A 19,552-nucleotide genomic window follows, 5' to 3' on the forward strand; every position below is an offset into this window, starting at 1 on the left:
TATACAAGTTAAAGTCTTAAATTATTTCTTAATTATGGTCATTATTTAATGCAAGTAAATAAACATTCAGTGGCTTTCACAATGTTTTGGCTGATGCAGGTTGCTCATGGAGATTTTATAGAACAATTTCACTTATTGTAAATAGCTAGGTGAGTGGAATGGAGTCAGAAAGGGTAGCGACAAGAGAGGGAAAATCATTAATGTATGGGAATTGTCTGTGTAAGCACTTAAGCGCTTTCAAGAAGCCACAGACCTGGCCACCACTCCTTGTCGAAAGTCTTCAATTCATGGAAACTGAAAATTTATGTCCCTGGTTTTGCTGGACCAACCCTTCTCCAACTCTCCAGACACCAACTAGGTATTCTATAGTTCAGTTCTGATGCTGTCTACCTGGAGCTAGGTCTCACAGGTGAAGAGCTCAGTCTACAAGACTGCCCCAACTTTAGATGCCAACCACAAGTCCAGGTTGGCACTTGTGCTTCTTTCTGACGGCTACAAATTGAGGATTCACACGACCTCCTCCTTGGACTCTGTCATTTGCTATGATGGCTCATAGCACTCAGGAAAACACTTATGTTTGGCAGTTTATTATAATGGATATGATAAATGATATAGATGATTAGGTACCCAGGTAGGGGTCTGAAATGTTCCAAAGCACAGGAGTTTCTGTCCCCATGGTGTTGGGGTACACCAATCTCTCAGCTTGTGATTGTGTTCACCAACCCAGAAGCTGTCTGAACCCTGGACTTTATGGAGCCTTCCTCATTTAGGCATGATCAGTTACTAACATGATCAGTCACTAACTCAATTTCCAGCCCTTCTCCTCTCCCTGACGATGGGGGTGGGGCTGCAGGTTCCAAGCATCTTGGACTGCTTAGTCTTTCAGTGACCAGCCACCATCCTGGAGCCCACCAAGAGTTGTCTCATTAGAAGAAAAGACATTGCTGTCACTCAGGAAGTTCCAAGGGATTGGGAGCTCAGCGTCAGGACTGGGGTCCAAATATTAAGAACAAAAGATGGAAAGATGTACCTAGCACCCCTGTTGATCAGGAAATTACAACCGTTTTAGGAGCCCTAGGCCAGGAACTGGAGGCAGAGACCAAATATTATTATGTCACAGATATGGTACTTACAACTAACAATACTGCGTTATATACTTATTTACACAAATGTTTGTTACGAGGGTAATTGCATGTTAACTGCTCTTACCATAATAAAATAAAAATTTTTGAAAACATATTCCTTTTTATCTAGATTTAGCAACTTTTTAGCATTCTGCCACATTTGCTTTCTCTCCCTCTCACCACACACACACACACACATACGTGTGCACACACACACTTTGTTGTTGCTGCTGAACAATTTAGAAGAAACTAAATTGTAAACATCATAACACTTCATCTCTAAATACTGTAGCATGTATCGCCTGAAAACAAGAATTTTCTGTATAATCAAAATCCTACTATCATACCCAAGAAATTTATCAGGGATATGATAATCTTATTTAATATATGGTTTATATTCAAATTTCCCTCATCGTCTTCAACTTTTCCTTTATAAGTAGACCAGTTCCTCTACCTTTAATTTGTTTTTAAAGCTTTTACAAGGTTGATTATTTTTAAACAGCCCAAGCCAGTTATCTTGTAGAGTGCCCCCCAACCTGGACTTGACTAAGGTGATGGAATGTATTTCCCATTAGATCCTATGAGGAGGCATCATGTCATTTTGTCCCTTTATTGGTGGTGCTAAATTCGATGATCACACTTACACTTTGCTGGAGCCTTACTTGTTTCAAACATGTAGTAAGGTTCCAGTGATGGGGGCACTGTGGCATTCACAGTAGCCAAAGGTGGGAGCAACCCAAATGTCTGTCAACAGATGCATGAATTATCAGATTACAGTGTATATGTAAGTGGGAATATTGTTCGGCTATAAAAAGGAATGAAGTACTGATGCATGCTACAACATGGATGAACCTCAAAACCTTGATGTTAAACAAAGGTCTACAAAAAACTTGATGCTAAACAAAAGTCTACAAAAGGTCACATATTATACCATTCCATTCATATGAATATCAAGAGTGGGTAAATCCACAGAAACAGAATACAGCCAGGTACAGTGGCTCACACCTGTCATCCCAGCACTTTGGAAGACCGAGGCAGGTGGATCGGTGGAGCGCAGGAGTTTGAGATTAGCCTGAGCAACATGGCAAGATCCTATCTTTACAAAAACTACAAAAATTAGCCAGGTATCATGGTGTGCACCTCTAGTCCCAGCTACTTGGGAGGCTAAGGTGGTAGGATCACCTGAGCCCAAGAGGTCGAGGCTGCAGTGAGCCATGTTTATGCCATGGCACTCCAGCCTGAGTGACAAAGTGAGACCCTGTCTCAGAAAAAAAAAAAAAAGAAACAGACTTTAGATTGGTAATTGCCAGTGGTGGAGCTGAGGGAGGAATGGGGAGTAACTGCTTAATGGGTAAAGGGTTTTATTTTGAAATAAGGGGATGTTTGGGAACTAGATGGTGGTAGTAGTTGTACAACATTGTGAATTAAATGCCACCAGAGTGTTCTCTTTAAAATCGCTGGTTTTTTATGTTATGTGAATTTCACTTAAATTAAAAAAAAAAAAAAGGACCAGGCGCAGTGGCTCACGCTTGTAATCCCAGCATTTTGGGAGGCTGAGGTGGGTGGATCACCTGAGGTCAGGAGTTCTAGACCAGCCTGGCAAACATGGCGAAACCCCGCCTCTACTAAAAATACAAAAATTAGCCAGCCATAGTGGCACGTGCCTGTAATCCCAGCTACTTGTGAGGCTGAGGCAGGAGAATCACTTGAACTCGGGAGGTGGAGGTTCAGTGAGCCGAGATCACACCACTGCACTCCAGTCTGGGCAACAAAGTGAGACTCCGTTTCAAAAAAAAAAGTGAGTGAGGGACAGCTTCCTCAACAATCTGGAGAAAGTAGAATCTATGAGAGCTAAGTGAAAACAGAGTGCCATTGATAGGAAGCCAAGTTGTGGTTTTTAATCCAGAATAGAGATAAATCAACCCAGCTAAAATTCAGGCCTTCAACTCAACTTGGTTTGTGAATCTAGACAACTTTTAAAGTTATCAACATAAGTTTCGAGAGCTGCACAATGTAACAGCGTAGACCTTTGTATCTTCCTCTTCTCTTTGAACTCCAATTTAGAAGAATCAGATTACCCTGAATTGCTTAATGAGATAAAAATAGAAAATAGAGGTTATCTAGTCACCTAGTTTTTATAGTGTTTTCTTGTTTCAATCCCGTTTAGAATCAGAGGATTACAGGGCCAGGTGCAGTGGCTCATGCCTGTAATCCCAACACTTTGGGAGGCCTAGGTGGGTGGATCACCTGAGGTCAGGAGTTCAAGACCAGCCTGGCCATCATGGTGAAACCCTGTCTCTACTAAAACTACAAAAATTAGCTGGGCATGGTAGCACATGCCTGTAATCCCAGCTATATTCGGGAGGCTGAGGCAGGAGAATCCCTTGAACCCAAGAGGCGGAGGTTGCAGTGAGCTGAGATCATGTCATCGCACTCCAGCCTGGGCAATGGAGTGAGACTCTGTCTCAAAAAAAAAAAGAAAGAAAGGATTACAAAACTATTGTGATGCTCTTTATGATTTGAAACAAAAAATGTATGCAGTATCTAGAGTGGGAATTTAAATTAGAACAACTTCTTTGGATAGCAAAATATCAAAGTGTATCAGCTGACAAAGATGTTTCTGCTTAGCCATCCAGTATCTTACTTCTTTTTTTTTGAGACAGAGTCTTGCCCTGTCACCCGGGCTGAAGTGAAACGGTGCAATCTCGGCTCACTGCAACCTCCGCCTCCCAGGTTCGAACAATTCTCCTGCCTCAGCCTCCCAAGTAGCTGGGATTACAGGTGCCTGCCACCACGCCCAGCTAATTTTTGTATTTTTAGTAGAGACGGGGTTTCACCATGTTGGCCAGGCTGGTCTCAAACGCCTGACCTCATGATCCACCTGCCTCGGCCTCCCAAAGTGCTGGGATTGCAAGCGTGAGCCACCGTGCCCAGCCGTATTTTACTTCTTATTATCTTATGGAAGTAAATCAAAATGTGGGCAAACTTTATGCAAGATTACATTTATAGAGAAAAATTGTTAGAATCACAGATATTTAAAATGAAGAGAATGGTTGAATTAGCACTGGTAATCAATAGAATATTGATCAGTCGTTAAAAATAACATTGTAATACCAAACAGCTAATGTGAAATAATTGTGATAAAATACAGAATATTTAAAAATGTGTGGTCAGCCATATTAAAGAAACATAACCTGTTCATAGGGGAAAAAAGGCCAAAAGGAAAATTTTAAGAGTAATTTTTGTTGAGTGACAGGAACTTGCCTCATGTCCCATCTGCAGCTACATTTTGCAGTCTCCAAATGTGTAATAGTAAAGAAAGTTATTATAACAGTGGCTCACATTTGATGAATACCAGTTCTGTGCCAGGAACTGTACACCCTCATGTTATTTATTCCCTTTGTGGCATTTGGAAACAGGAGCTGTCATAAGCCCATTTTACTGGCAATGGAATTGAAGATCAAGAGCTCATAGAATTTGTCCCGGGTCAGGAAGCTAGACAGTGGCAAATTCCAATTAGCAGTTCCATTCCAGACCTACATCTTAACTATTATACATGCAAAACATGTAATGAGCATTAAAGAGATATGCAGCATGTATAGAAAATAAAAAATAGACGTTATCTAGTTACCTAGTTTTTATAGTGTTTTCTTCTTCTTCTTTTTTTTTTTTTTTTTTTTGAGAGGAGTCTCTCTCTTGTTGCCCAGCCTGGAGTGCAATGGTGCGATCTCGGCTCACTACAACCTCCGTCTCTTGGGTTTAAGCGATTCTCCTGCCTCAACCTCCGAAATAGCTGGGATTACAGGCACCCACCACCACACCCCACCAATTTTTGTATTTTTAGTAGAGACAGGGTTTCTCCATGTTGGCCAGGCTGGTCTCAAATTCCTGACCTCAGGTATCCACCCACCTCAGCCTCCCAAAGTGCTGGGATTACAGTCACGAGCCACTGTGCCCGGCTGTGTTTTCTTCTTTTGATGTAAAACATGTAATGAGCATTAAAGAGATATGCAGCATGTATTCAGGTAGCCGGGGTTCGGTTAGTGAAATATTGAATTAGTAGCTTGGGGACATTATTTTTGGATCTGTTCCTGGCTCACTCTATGATTAAAATTAGGTCAGTTTGCTTTTGGTGTCAGTTTTTCCATCTTTGTAGAAAGGAAAACAGAACCTCCCACTTGCCTGCTTCTTTATGCTTACGAACCTGCTTAAGCACCTGTAATAAGTTAGTCTACAGTGTTATTACCATTAGCTGGAGGATAGCGTGGCTTTGTGAAAAAGTGCATGGATTTAAGGATTAGGCAGATCCAGCTGCAAATCCTTTGGACGCTCAAATTCCCTGAGCCTCAGTTTCTACAACTGTAAAATGGGGCAATAACGTGTACCTTGGGGTTTCAAAGAGGAATAAATGAGATGCCCTATATACAGTGAAGGATAATCGTTCTCCACTCAATAACTATTCTTTCCCTGCCCTATTTCACTGTAGCTTATCTGATCAAACTTTGAGTACAAAAGAATGAGGCCCACATGTTTCCTGTCATTTTTTTGCACATCTTACCAAAATAAACAGAAAACTAACCAATAGTGGCAAATCATCAGTACTCAGATCTGGATAGAAGAAAGCAGAGGAAGCAAAATGGAATGATCCTGGTAGGAATGAGGGCAGAGGGCACTCTTTACAGCATGCTTTGGACTCATGGAAGCTTTTCTGGTGGGTCCAGAAGGTAACAGGATACCCCACAGAGGTGTGGAGGACACATGCTACCTTAACCTTTCATCCAGTCTTTCAACCTTTAACCAACTCTGGAGAGAGCAGCAAGTCAGTTTCCTGACTGGGTTCAATGATATATCTGAGAAATTTATTGATTTATATGTATCAAGAAATATAAATAGTCCAGGTGCTGTGGCTGACACCTGTAATCCCAACACTTTGGGAGGCTGAGGCGGGTGGATCACTTGAGGTCAGGAGTTTGAGACCAGCCTGGCCAACATGGCAAAACCCTGTCTCTACTAAAAAATACAAAAATTAGCTGGGCGTGGTGGTGCGCGCCTATAATCCTCGCTACCTGGAAGGCTGAGGCAGGAGAATCGCTTGAACCCAGGAGGCAGAGGCTGCAGTGAGCCAAGATTGCACCCATGCACTCTAGTGTGGGCAACAGAGTGAGACTCCATCTCAAAAAAAAAAAAAAAAAAAAAAAAAAGAAAGAACAAGAAAGAAAGAAAAAATATATATAAATGTTGTTTTTGGTAAAACATGTATGTCAGTATATATGTATATATTTCAATAACAGATTAAACGCTATTTCTCAGATACTTTGGTGGATCATTTGGGGACAGGGTTGTCTTTAACAAAGTTGATTGGCAGTAGATAAGAGTTTGGGGGTGGAAATGAACCCTAGATTGGAGACTGCAGTGTGTTATAGAAGAGAAAGCAGCAACGGCATTCCTTAAAGTCATAGTAGCTGACATTTAGTGAAGATTTGCTATGTGCCAGGGTTTATGTCTTCATGAACATTCTCTTGTTAGCATGTTTCTCTTTTCATAATTTTTTAATTGTAGTATATAACATAGACATTTAAAAAATGTATAGCTGAGCTTCATGTGTTACTTGAAGGTAACCATTCTTGTCACTACAACCCAAGTCAAGTTTTGACAGTTTTTGCCCCGTGTATTTTGAAGCTATGTTATTAGGTGCATAAACAATTAGGATTGCTCTCTCATTATCACATGTTGCAAGAAGTGATGCATGCTAAGATCTGAAGAGTCCCACCTTTGCTATTTCTGTCTCTGACAGTAGAGTTCCTGAAAATGAAGTTTGTTGCTAGAATGTGCCCTCTTTGTGGGCACATGAATAATGGCTGCTTGGTCAAGGTAGGAAGATGGAATTTTCTGTAGTAGGAAATTCTCTACATCCCTCCTGTCGGTGATGATTCTTCCATATGTTCACATAGGGGAGCCAATGTAAAGCTATGACTAAGTAGTTAGACCTTAACATCAGACAGATCAACCACTTATATGCTGTGTGGCTTGGGCAACTCACTTAACCCTTCGATAAGCTTCCATTCTCTCTTTTTTAAAAAGAACATTATGGCTCAGTGTTTCCTCTACCGATTCCTTCCACCTCCCCCTTCAAAAATAAAGAGTACTGTGGCTACTTTATTGGTATGTGGCTATACGACGATTAAATAAAAATACCTTGGCAGGGTCCATAACACGATGCTTGGCATATAGTAAACACCCAATAAATGTTAAATAATACTGTGTCATTACTGTCTTGTTATATTACCTTACCTGAACTGAGGCTCAGTTTGACATATCTTATATGTATTAATCCCCCTGCCATGGGCCACTGCAGTGAGCAGATACTAACAGACTGATTCCATGAGACTTTTTCTTTTCTTACAGGGCCGATGTCCATTGGAATCACTGTGATGCTGATCATACACAACTATTTGTTCCTTTACATCCCTTATTTGATGTGGCTTTACTTTGACTGGCATACCCCAGAGCGAGGAGGCAGGAGATCCAGCTGGATCAAAAATTGGACTCTTTGGAAACACTTTAAGGACTATTTTCCAATTCATGTGAGTACAGTTGTTTTATAAAGTATTATTTTGATTTAGGAGAAGAGTGGAAATTTGTTTTCATCACATATATCTCAAGCTTCTTTTTCAGAGGGGATGTCTTAGTCTGTTTTGTGCTGCTGTAACAGAATACCAAAGACTAGGTAATTTATAAAGAAAACAAATTTTTTTCTCACAGTTGTGGAGGCTGGGATCTGGCAAGATACCAAAGATGCTGGCATCTGGCAAGAGCCTTCCTGCTGCATCAGCCCATAGCGCAAGGTAGAAGGGCAGGAGAGGGCAAAAAAGAGCAAGAGGGGGTTGAATTCATTCCTTTATAAGGAACTCACTCCCAAGATAACAAACCCACTTCTGTGATAATGGCGTTAATCCATTCACTCTGCTTTCATTCCTAATTACCTCTCATTAGGCCCCACCTCCCAACACCGTTGCGTTGGGGATTAAGTTTTTAAACACTTACTTTTGAGGGAAACATTCAAACCATAGCAGGGAGAAAGGCTGCAATTTGGTTCCAATTACTAAATGAACTGTAAGCTGACTTGACAAAATCTAGAAGGCTATATATAAAGGGATCTGGGCTCAGAAGATAGTTTAGAAATTTGGAAACAGCTCCAACCCAGGGAACAAAAATGAGTCATGTTCTCCATTTTCTCTTGACATAAAAACTAGTCCTTTTGTTTCTCATTGGAAAATAATAAGGGAAGTTTCTTTTTTTTAAAATCTCAATATGAATGTGCTGTAGCTTATCAAAACTCAAGATTTGGATCCAAGTCACAACTATATATTTGGGTTTCACCCCCATGGAATAATGGCAGTTGGAGCCTTTGGGAATTTTTCTGTAAATTATTCTGACTTCAAGGACCTGTTTCCTGGCTTTACTTCATATCTTCACGTGCTGCCACTTTGGTTCTGGTGTCCTGTCTTTCGAGAATATGTGATGAGTGTTGGTAAGTGATGGCAGATCACTGTTTCCACAGTGCTTTGGGGTAGCAGGAGCACACAGAACATTCCCTCCCAGGCCCATGTGTGTTTATGGTCTCTTAGAGTAAAACCTGTTTTATCCTCATCTGGCACTTCCTATGGTGTCTGGGTGTTTCCTGCCCTCCCCCACTGGACTGTAAGTGGCAGAAACACAAACTGTGTCTTCTTTTCTGTTCCATCCCAAGTATCCAGCATGGTGCCTGGAACATAGAAATGTTCAATGAATATTAACACAATGATCAAATAAAGTAATGAATGCAGTTTGTGTATTCAGATGTAGAAAAAGAAATCAGGGATCAAGTAAGTGACAAATCACACCCTTGGAGAGGCACCATGCATGCTGTTACGAATACTAGAAATGGAAAATGTCTTTCATTGTGTCTTGAAGTAACAGCAGTGATAAAACTAAGCATATTCAACTTGCTGTCTTCCTAGATGAAAAATAACTTGGCTCAGAAATAAGAGTCCAGGCCGGGCGCGGTGGCTCACGCCTGTAATCCCAGCACTTTAGGAGACTGAGGCGGGCAGATCTCTTGAGCCCAGGAGGTTGAGACCAGCTTGGGCCACATGGCAAAACCCTGTCTCTACAAAAAATGCAAAAATTAGCTGGGCATGGTGGCACACATCTGTAGTCCCAACTACTCAGGAGGCTGAGGTGGAAGGATCACCTGAGCTTGGGAGGTCAAGGCTGCAGTGACCGGAGATGGTGCCCCTGCACTTCAGTCTGGGTGACAGAGAGAGACCCAATCACAATTAAAAAAATAAATAAAAAGAGACGAGGGCAGTGACTCACACCTGTTATCTCAGCACTTTGGGAGGCCGAGGTGGGGTGAATCACTTGAGGTCAGGAGTTCGAGACCAGCCTTGCCAACATAGTGAAACCCCGTCTCTACTAAAAATACAAAAATTAGGGCATGGTAGTGGGCGCCTGTAATCCCAGCTACTCAGGAAGCTGAGGTGGGGGAACTGCTTGAACCCAGGAGGTGGAGGTTGCAGTGAGCCAACATTTTGCCACTGCACTCCAGCCCGGGCGACAGAGCGATACTCCGTCTCAAAAAAGAAAGAAAGAAAAAAAAGAATTGTTCATGGTCCTCTAGACTTTTATTACGTCCTATTAATCTCTCAAGTCACTACTGTCATTATATACCTGGTAGCATATCACTAAGCACCCAGGTACCAGAATTCACCGCTGAGTTTTCAGGTTGTTTTCAAAGTCCAGCCTGGTCCCGAGGGCACACTAGAGGGCGCACTAAACCCTCCAAGCTACCGGAAGATCCGGCATCTGGCCTGCAGAGGGTGCACTATCCCCCTCTTAACCACCGAAAGTGGGGTTGGGGGGGAATTACTTCTCTTCCTTGTTTTGTATACATTGTGTTAGAGTTTTATAAAAGGAAGACAATTACAGAGAAAAATGTTTAAATTTCACAAAAGCACAGAAACATATTTAAAGTGTAATGTTTGCTTATTCAAAGCATTGCCGCAGTGAGTTTGAGTCGTATAGTTAAGAGCAGGTTTGGCAAATTCATGGACAAGAGATGTAGGTACCCCCTTCTCCATAGCCTTATCAGACACATATACTCCATCTTAGAGTCTTTCTCCGTATAGTGCCCCTACAGCCACTGCAGTTTACTAGAGTTGGCTTTGGAGAGGAAAGCTGTTTGCAATCCCTGGTTTCTTTTTATTTATTTATTTTTTATTTTATTTTATTTTATTTTTTTTGAGACGGAGTTTCGCTCTTGTTGCCCAGGCTGGGGAGTGCAATGGCGTGATCTTGGCTCATTGCGACCTCTGCCTCCCTGGTTCAAGTGATTCTCCTGCCTCAGCCTCCCAAGCAGCTGGGATTACAGGCTTGCACCACCATGCCAGGCTAATTTTTTGTATTTTTAGTAGAAACGGGGTTTCACCATGTTAGCCAGGCTGGTCAAGAACTCCTGACCTCAGGTGATCCACCCAGCTCGGCCTCCCAAAGCGCTGGGATTACAGGCATGCACCACTGCGCCCAGCAATCACTGGTTTCTGACATCATGAATAGTTTTCTGTGGTACAACCTTCAGTTCCTTAAAAGGTAAATAGAAATACTCAAACTTTCAGCCAGTGGAGGTTTGGACTATCCTTGTTTCTAAGTCTAAAGAATTATCTATACTTCCCAGAACCAGCTTCCTAGGACAGCCCTTGGTCCAAGGCTGCCCCTCTCCACTGTGCCTGCCCAAGCGGCTGCCTCTCTGGGTGTGAAAGACTGACAGACATAGGCACCAGACCTCACGTAGTAAGGAACCATAGGGCTTCAGAGGGCCTTTGTTGACAGCAGTCTGTTTTGCTCTTACCCAATAGGATTCTGCATCTGTAAGTCCTTTTAAATCCCACCTCCAACCCATTCCTCTTGTCCCATTTTGGGTGTATCTATACCTATCAGGTGTCAGCCAGAGCCAACTGCGTTTCAGGTTCATACTTCTTTCTGTTTACCCCTTAAGGCTGGACAGGTAACAGAATCAGATCACAACAGCCTTATATACCATACAGAGGACTTTCGATTTTATTTTGTAGATAAGCCATGGGGAACTTGGAGGGATTTTGAGCAAAGGAGGGATCTGATGGATTTGGTGTGATAGAAAGATAATTCAGGCAGCAGCTTGGAACGTGGTTACAGGCAGGTAGGCCTGGAGACTGATGATGGAAGCGGCCTGTTGAGTGATGAAGGGAGAGGTGATAAGGGCTATGCTAACAGTGGCAATGGCACTGGAGATACAGAAGAGGAGATTAATATCAAAAATATTTGATACAGTCTCTAAGACTTAATGATTGATTCATCCTCATGAAGTCAGTAACTATTTTGTCATTATTATCAATACTTAGCCCAGTACCTGGCCAGTAGCAGGTGCTCAATAAATGCTTTTAAATGAATGAATGATCAGTCAATGTGGTGGCTAAGAAAGGAGAATGTGGCTACATATGGAAGAAGCTGTGTTTTGACCAGATAGATGATGGTCCCATTCACCTTGATAAATAATGTTGGAAGAGGGACAACTTTAAGGGAGAATTTAATGCATTCGGTTTGGAGACGTGTAGTTTGAGGTGTCTTAGAGCTGTCACTGTAGAGCTGTCAATTGGGCATTTGGAGATATGGGCCTGGAACCTCAGGAGGAAGATCTCCTGACAGATGGATTTGGGAGAACTCAGCATACATAAATGGTAGTTGAATCCATGGGTGTAGATGAGGTTAGAGGACAAGAGAGATAAGGAAGGACCCCTAAGAAATAGCAGCATTGAAGGATGGCCTGAAGACAAGGAGCCTGAGGGAAAACGGAGGAGTGGCCAGAGGCAAGCTAGGAGAGCCAGGGGTGTGGAAACCCAAGAGGCCCTCTTCCTGGTGGAAGAGATGCACCCAACTCTCACTCAGGTTCACACAGAGCAGAATGGCATGTCTTGACCTCAGTGAAGGTTCAAACCCATCTAGGCAGGCTCAGGCTCTCTACCTCTAACCCAGCATCCTCTGCCTCTTAAGAGGGCAGTTGGTCATTCAGAATCCTGTCATAATTCCTCCCATAATAGAAACCCAGAGTAAAATTAGCATATCATTTTCTTCAAGTGATGAGATATGCTATGTCTTTATAAAGACTGTCTAACACTTTCTGTTATGACTAAATAAAAATGGATAAAACCCAGAATGGAAAGAAACATAAGACATTAAAAAGTGATTATTTCTGAAATGTAGTTCAAGACTGGTTTGTATGTTTGTCTTTATTCTTTCCTATATTTTCCTCCAAGAGTATGTAGAACATGTGAAATCTGAAAAGGAATCTTTTAAGTTATTTTTACATGGGAAAGCCTGAAATACAGACCGAACAATTATCTAACTGTTTTAAATGAACAATTTACCAAAGTCAGACTATACTTATTGGAAACATGTAGAGATCTGGCAAGTGATCTAGGTTGTCAAATGTCTTGTTTTTTTTTTTTTTTTTTTTAACCATTTTGTATTAGTTCATTTTCACACTGCTGATAAAGACATATCCAAGACTGGGAAGAAAAAGAGGTTTGAAAGACTTACAGTTCTACATGGCTGGGGAGGCCTCATAATCATGGTGGAAGGCAAGGAGAAGCAAGTCACGTCTTACATGGGTGGCGGCAGGCAAGGAGAGAGCTTGTGCAGGGAAACTCCTCTTTATGAAACAATCAGATCTCATGGGACTTATTCACTATCACGAGAACAGCATGAGAAAGACCTGCCCCCACGAGTCAGTTACCTCCAACTTGGTCCCTTCCACGACATGAAGGAATTGTGGGAGTTGCAATTCAAGGTGAGATTTAGGTGGGGGCACAGTCAAACGATATCACATTTATATTATAAATCCAGGTTTGGAAAATAATGATCCATATAGAATATCTGAAAACAGGCCATTATATATTCAGAAAATCCACTGCAGCCTCTTGGAGAATATACTTTTTGGTTCTGTGTAAAAATTCGCCATGATAAATATCAAGGCCACCACATACAGCTGTGCAGGTTGTGCACTGAACAACTCCAGGGGCAGGGGATCCTTTTACTTAGAATGCAATATAAATGGTGTCCTCTAGAGTTCAGTAGTGCACAACCTACCTAAACAAACAAGTGGTAGACCTAGTAATGACTGAATGACATTTTAAAGACCTAGCCCATTACCTGCCAAGATGTTAACTTATTAATAGAATACATTACTAAAGATTTGGCTATGAAAAATTACAAACTTACAAAGTGCTCCAAAGGTAAGCAGTGTAGGAAATTTTGTTAAATGTTTACTATTGTCATGGAATATTATGATAAAACATTGTAATATTGTTAGAAAAGGATAACTAGTTACTTTTTGTTTTATTCACTAAGGGCTGGTTTCAGTTTCCAAGAAAAGTGTGTCCTACATGGTAAGCAAGGAGGGAGGTGGAAACATCTCTGTCATTGTCCTTGGGGGTGCAAAAGAATCACTGGATGCTCATCCTGGAAAGTTCACTCTGTTCATCCGCCAGCGGAAAGGATTTGTTAAAATTGCTTTGACCCATGGGTAAGTGGCTTTTTGTATAAAGTAGGGGGTCAGAAAAGTTAAGACATTATTAAACAAACCACGAAGAAGTAAGGTGATTTTCTAGCCCTTAAAGACCTCCTCCAAATCGATCTGACAGTAAAAGCAGGTGTGGATGTTCTTGGGGAATGGAATATGACCTTTTTACTACAGTAGCTCAATGCCATGACATTCAGCAATTAAACTTAACTCTAAAAGCAAAACAACGAGAACAACAACAAAAACCAACATTCTATATATACAGTGTAATTTTCCAGCCAAATCAACAGTGGCCAAAGCTATAGATAAAAGAGAAGTTTCCTGGAACCCTAATTTTCTATAGAATAAAATCCTGTCAATGGCTAGCCTGCTGAAATTCCTCCCTAAAGAATGTCAAGTTTAAGACAGTTTCAATGAACGTGAAGTTAGCAATATAGGAAGGCTTGGGCACATTTAAAAAATTTTTCAGAAGTTGTTGCAAGAGTCAGCTAAACAGAATAAATTATTTGAATCCTTTTCATTGAAAATTCTCACCCGTCCCCTTTGTTATTGCAGCGCCTCTCTGGTCCCAGTGGTTTCTTTTGGTGAAAATGAACTGTTTAAACAAACTGACAACCCTGAAGGATCATGGATTAGAACTGTTCAGAATAAACTGCAGAAGATCATGGGGTTTGCTTTGCCCCTGTTTCATGCCAGGGGAGTTTTTCAGTACAATTTTGGCCTAATGACCTATAGGAAAGCCATCCACACTGTTGGTATGTACATAAAATAACTACAACTATTAGCTTACTTTAAGCAATGTTTCTTGTTATTGATTGAGGTGCTAATGCAAGGGAAGTGGCTTTGAGTAAGAACTTCCTGAAACAATAATCCTGTAGATGTTATTTGAGTTTTGTTTCTGGTATTCCTTTTATTTATGAAATGACTACATTTTCCACTAGAATAGGAATTGATTACTTTCAAGAATACTGCTATTGCACTACAAGTAAAATCCAATTTTCAAAATAAAGTTTCTAATACTCTATAATGAATCTATTTCTCTGTGCCAGCCAATTATAGCATAGCAATTCTTTGATGACAAGTCATATCAGAGTTTACAGATAGATGAACATTTCTGTATGATAAGTGTCCTCATTATGTTCAGTTCACATAAGCATCAGTTTCTATAGCAAAAGCTTTTTTTTTGCAGCTAGCTGTTTTATATATATTCTGCTATTCTGCTATAGACTTATTTTTTTTTTATTTCAGTAGGTTTTTGGGGAACAGGTGGTGTTTGGTCACATGAATAAATTCTTTAGTTGTGATTTCTGAGATTTTGGTGCACCCATCACTGGAGCAGTGTATACTCCACCCAATATGTAGTCTTTTATCCCTCACCCCTCTTCCACTCTTTCCCCCGAGTCCCCAAAGTCCATTGCATCATTCTTAATGCCTTTGTGTCCTCATAGCTTAGCTCCCACTTATGAGTGAGAACATACGATGTTTGGTTTTCCATTCCTGAGTTACTTCACTTAGAATAATGGTTTCCAATTCCATCCAGGTTGCTGAAAATGCCATTATTTCATTACTTCTTATGGCTAAGTAGTAGTCCATGATGTTTATATACATATATCACAATTTCCTTATCCACTCAATGATGGGCATTTGGGCTGGTTCCATATTTTTGCAATTGCAAATTGTTCTGCTATAAACATGTGTGTGCAAGTATATTTTTCGTATAATGACTTCTTTTCCTCAGGGTAGATACCCAGTAGTGGGATTGCTAGATCAAATGGTAGTTCTACTTTTAGTTCTTTAAGGAATGTCTACAGTTTTCCCTAGCGGTTGTACTAGTTCACATTCCTACCAGCAGTGTGAAAGTGTTCCCTTTTCACTGCATCCACACCAACATCTATTATTTTTTGAATTTTTGATTATGGCCATTTTTGCAGGAGTAAGGTGGTATCGCATTATGATTTTGATTTACATTTCCCTGATCATTAGTGATGTTGAGCATTTTTTCATATGTTTGTTGACCATTTGTATATCTTCTTTTCAGAATTGTCTATTCATGTCCTTAGCCCTTTTTGATGGGATTGTTTGTTTTGTTCTTGCTGATTTATTTGCATTCCTTGTTGATTCTGACTCTTAATTAGACTCATTTTATTTTAAAAAGCTGCATGTTTGGGAGAATCCAGTTGAGGGAGGAGGGTGAAGACCATGTTGATAAAAATACTGAGGAGTTGGCCAAGTGTGGTGGCACACACCTGTATTCCTAGCACTTTGGGAGGCTGAGACAGGAGGAATGCCTGAGCCCAGGAGTTCGAGACCAGACTGGCAACAAAGCTGGACCTCATCTCTACTAAAAATTTTAAAAATTAGCGGGGCACCATGGCATGTGCTTGTAATCCCAGTGCTTTGGGAGGCTGTGGAAGAAGGAGCACTTGAGCCCAGGAGTTGGAGGTTGGAGTGAGCTATGATTGTGCCATGACACTATAGCCTGGGTGACAGATCAAGACCCTATCTCAGAAAAACAAAAACAAAAACAAAAAACCCAGGAGCAAAGTATTTAGCTCCCTCAGATTGGAAGAGGATTGGAGAGCTAAAATGAGAATGTGCTGAGCCAGGCACTAATAGCAGAATTACTAAAACTATAAACATATTATGAAGCTGGAAGTAATATGTTCACCATGGATAGCCCATTAAGTAAAATTCAAATATAGTCAAATATTGTTTTAGGTCTGTTTTGCTAGGCTAGGATTTTACTACCATCAGTTTATAAGTGCTTTCCATTTAATATGCAATCACATGACATTATTTTTCCCACAGTAATTACGTTTATTATTATTAAATCTTAAGTATCTGAAAGGTATAAATGTGGGTCAAATGGAAGAAAATAGGAACTGAAATAAAACTATTGCAGACGCACATGAAGAGTGACTTTTCTGGTTTTCAATCTCTCTGAAGGGAATATTGAGGAGAGTAATTCTGATATGGAACTGAGTTGGGGATATATTTCTTTCCTGGGAGAAATTCCTGTGGAAGGGAGACAATTATCAGAATCTTTTTTTTTTTTTTTTTTTTTTTGAGATGGAGTTGCACTCTTGTCACCCAGGCCGGAGTGCAATGGCATGATCTGCAACCTCCGCCTCCTGGGTTCAAGCAATTCTCCTGCCTCAGCCTCCCAAGTAGCTGGGATTACAGGCATGCACCACCACACTCAGCTAATTTTTTGTATTTTTAGTAGAGACAGAGTCTCACTATGTTGGCCAGGCTGGTCTCGAACTCCCGACCTCAGGTGATCCATCTGCCTCAGCCTCCCAAAGTGCTGGGATTACAGGCGTGAGCCACCGCCTGTACAGAATCTTTTTTTTTTTCCTTCAGGTCAGATGGGTAATGTGCCGATGTTGTAACAAGGTTCAGAGGGTGGCACATTTCACATGTGCCCGTGAGCACCCAATCTTCACGCTCATGAACTACAGAAGGACCGAATTATCAGACTCTTAATGGACACAGGAACATATGTTTATAAGACATTGAGATTCTTATGACAAGAGACATCCCTGTAGGGAAGCAGGTCATAGACATAGCAGATGGGGTTTTAGTGAGAGACTGGAAAATGAATAGCATGAACTGAAATAAAATAAGGATTCCTTGTGCATTTGGTAGTACAATCTGGGGAGTAATTGCTAACTTCTCATGGACTAGTTGACCGTCAGGACAAAAGATGTTACTTCCATGTATTTCCTTTACTTCAAAAAGTTTCTCAATCCCCCAAGTGTAAGGGTGACATGGAAACAGGGAGGTGACATTAGATGTTGAGAAGAAAGCAAGCTAAATGTTATCTCTAAGCCAAGAAGGTAGACAACATTATAGATTTCTGAGGCTGGTTGGTGGCATATAAACAGGACTTCTTGTGACTGGTAAATATGTATATGGACCCTATCTCGGAAATGCTGGTGATCCTGAACAGGAAACATGAGATTCCATCTTGTACTAGTCAGAGAGATAGTCTTTCCTGCTTATGTTCAATTTCCCAGTGTCTCGAGTAGCCCTTGCACTGGCCTCACTTTCCTACTCTGTTGTTGGTAGTCGCAGCTGGAGAGTCAATCACCTTCACCTAATGGTTCAGGGAGGCTAATGGAGGGTCTCCGGCTTCACCATTGCCACCCTCCTCTCACACACATACCACCTCAACTCTCAGCAGTTCTTTGAGAAAGCCTTTCCATGGAGGATGGTCACACAGCCTCTGCTTCTTAGGGTAGTGCCATCTATTATAATATCAAAGAGTTCAGAAGAGTAAGGAGTTCCGTCCTTCCATAGCCAGGCCTTGCCATTGCCCGGGTGGAAGAGCCCTGTCTGATAAGAGTAGAAAAACTCAGAGTAGCTTTGAGACACAGCAAACTCCAGCATTTCTTGTGTGTTTATCTTTGGATGGTAGAGTTCTTAGCAATGCAGATATATTTACATTTTTGCCAACTTTCACTGTCTTTTTTTTTTTTTTTTTTTTGAGACGGAGTGTCACTCTGTCGCCAGGCTGGAGTGCAGTGGCACGATCTCTGCTCACTGCAACCTCGGCCTCCCAGGTTCAAGCAATTCTCCTGCCTTAGGCTCCCAAGTAGCTGGGACTACAGGCATGCGCTACCACACCCAGCTAATTTTTGTATTTTTAGTACAGACGGGGTTTCATCATGTTGGCCAGAATGGTCTCGATCTCTTGACCTCGTGATCTGCCTGCCTCAGCCTCCCAAAGTACTGGGATTACAGGCATGAGCCACCGCTCCCGGCCAACTTTTGCTATCTTTATAGAACTGGTAGCATTTGTCCCCATACACCTATTTTTCTGGACATAGGTTGCACCTGTGTACTCCAGCTTTGTTGCAGAGCTCATGACAGAGTTTTTCAGCCACATGCTTCAGACTTTCTGCAAACTTCATGTTCTGGGCTGGAGGAGATTTGACCTGTTGGGAGATATTTCTTTTTTTTTTTTTTTTTTTTTTTTGAGACGGAGTCTCACTATGTCACCCAGGCTGGAGTGCAGTGGCACAATCTCTGCTCACTGCAAGCTCTGCCTCCTGGATTCAGGCCATTCTCCTGCCTCAGCCTCTTGAGTAGCTGCGACTACAGCTGCCCGCCACCATGCCCGGCTACTTTGTTTTGTATTTTTAGTAAAGACGGAGTTTCACTGTGTTAGCCAGGATGGTCTTGATCTCCTGACCTTGTGATCCGCCCATCTCAGCCTCCCAAAGTACTGGGATTACAGGCGTGAGCCACCGCGCCCAGCTTCTGTTGGGAGATATTTCTTAATATTTCTTCCTTTTACGAGATGGTGTCTTGCTGAGTATTCGAGAGCTGGTATTAACTGAAAAACTGGAGCAGAAATGGATTTCATATGACATTATTCTTAAATGCTGTTTAATTAATAAAATGGAATGTTAACAGACTTGATCAGTTAGGGTAATGGGAATTTTGAGATAAATTTAAGTTTGCAATGGTATTGTTCAAGATAAGCTGGTTACTTTTTTGGCATAACATTCATTAACCATTTTTGATCTCTTATATGCAAAGTACTATTGTTAGCTTTGGGGATGATATAAAGGAAATTGTAAGGCATGATAATAGGAACTAAAAGTTTAATGAAATGTAACCATATGCTCACATGAAATAAGCTGTTGATGCTGAAAGCAAGTGTAGTCTGTAGGCTTAAATGATTGCACTTGTCACCTGGTTAAGCTTTTTTACTTTTTAAATGGTTTGCCATTTGATATCGCCCAGTTATACCTCTACTGACAAATAATCATCAGTCAAGGGTTGAATGGAATTACTGAATCTGAATTAGTTGTCAAGACTGGAA

General features: G+C 41.2%; 1 protein-coding gene and 1 non-coding gene across 2 annotated transcripts in view, besides 1 other annotated feature; one reads left to right on the forward strand and one right to left on the reverse strand.

Moving 5' to 3' along the window:
• The window catches only part of MOGAT1 (monoacylglycerol O-acyltransferase 1), a 38,273-nt gene that overhangs the window by 9,157 nt on the left and 9,564 nt on the right, over positions 1-19,552 (forward strand). Inside the window, exons 2-5 of the mRNA NM_058165.3 lie at positions 7,530-7,708; positions 8,451-8,655; positions 13,548-13,722; positions 14,275-14,474. Coding sequence (NP_477513.2) covers positions 7,530-7,708; positions 8,451-8,655; positions 13,548-13,722; positions 14,275-14,474 — 759 coding nt within the window. The remainder of the gene's footprint in view (positions 1-7,529; positions 7,709-8,450; positions 8,656-13,547; positions 13,723-14,274; positions 14,475-19,552) is intronic.
• Positions 7,797-7,999: a silencer, noted in NCBI's record as "fragment chr2:223553330-223553532 (GRCh37/hg19 assembly coordinates)". NCBI's record gives its function as "represses an EF-1alpha promoter that drives an FKBP-Casp9 reporter gene in an ReSE screen in K562 erythroleukemia cells {active_cell/tissue: K562}" and the evidence as "EXISTENCE:reporter gene assay evidence [ECO:0000049][PMID:32094911]".
• On the reverse strand, positions 17,082-17,186 carry LOC124906151 (small nucleolar RNA U13). Its single transcript, XR_007088740.1, has one exon. It is a non-coding gene; the product is annotated as a small nucleolar RNA U13 (small nucleolar RNA).

Source organism: Homo sapiens, chromosome 2 (genome assembly GCF_000001405.40).
Source record: "Homo sapiens chromosome 2, GRCh38.p14 Primary Assembly".
Lineage (NCBI taxonomy): Eukaryota > Metazoa > Chordata > Mammalia > Primates > Hominidae > Homo > Homo sapiens.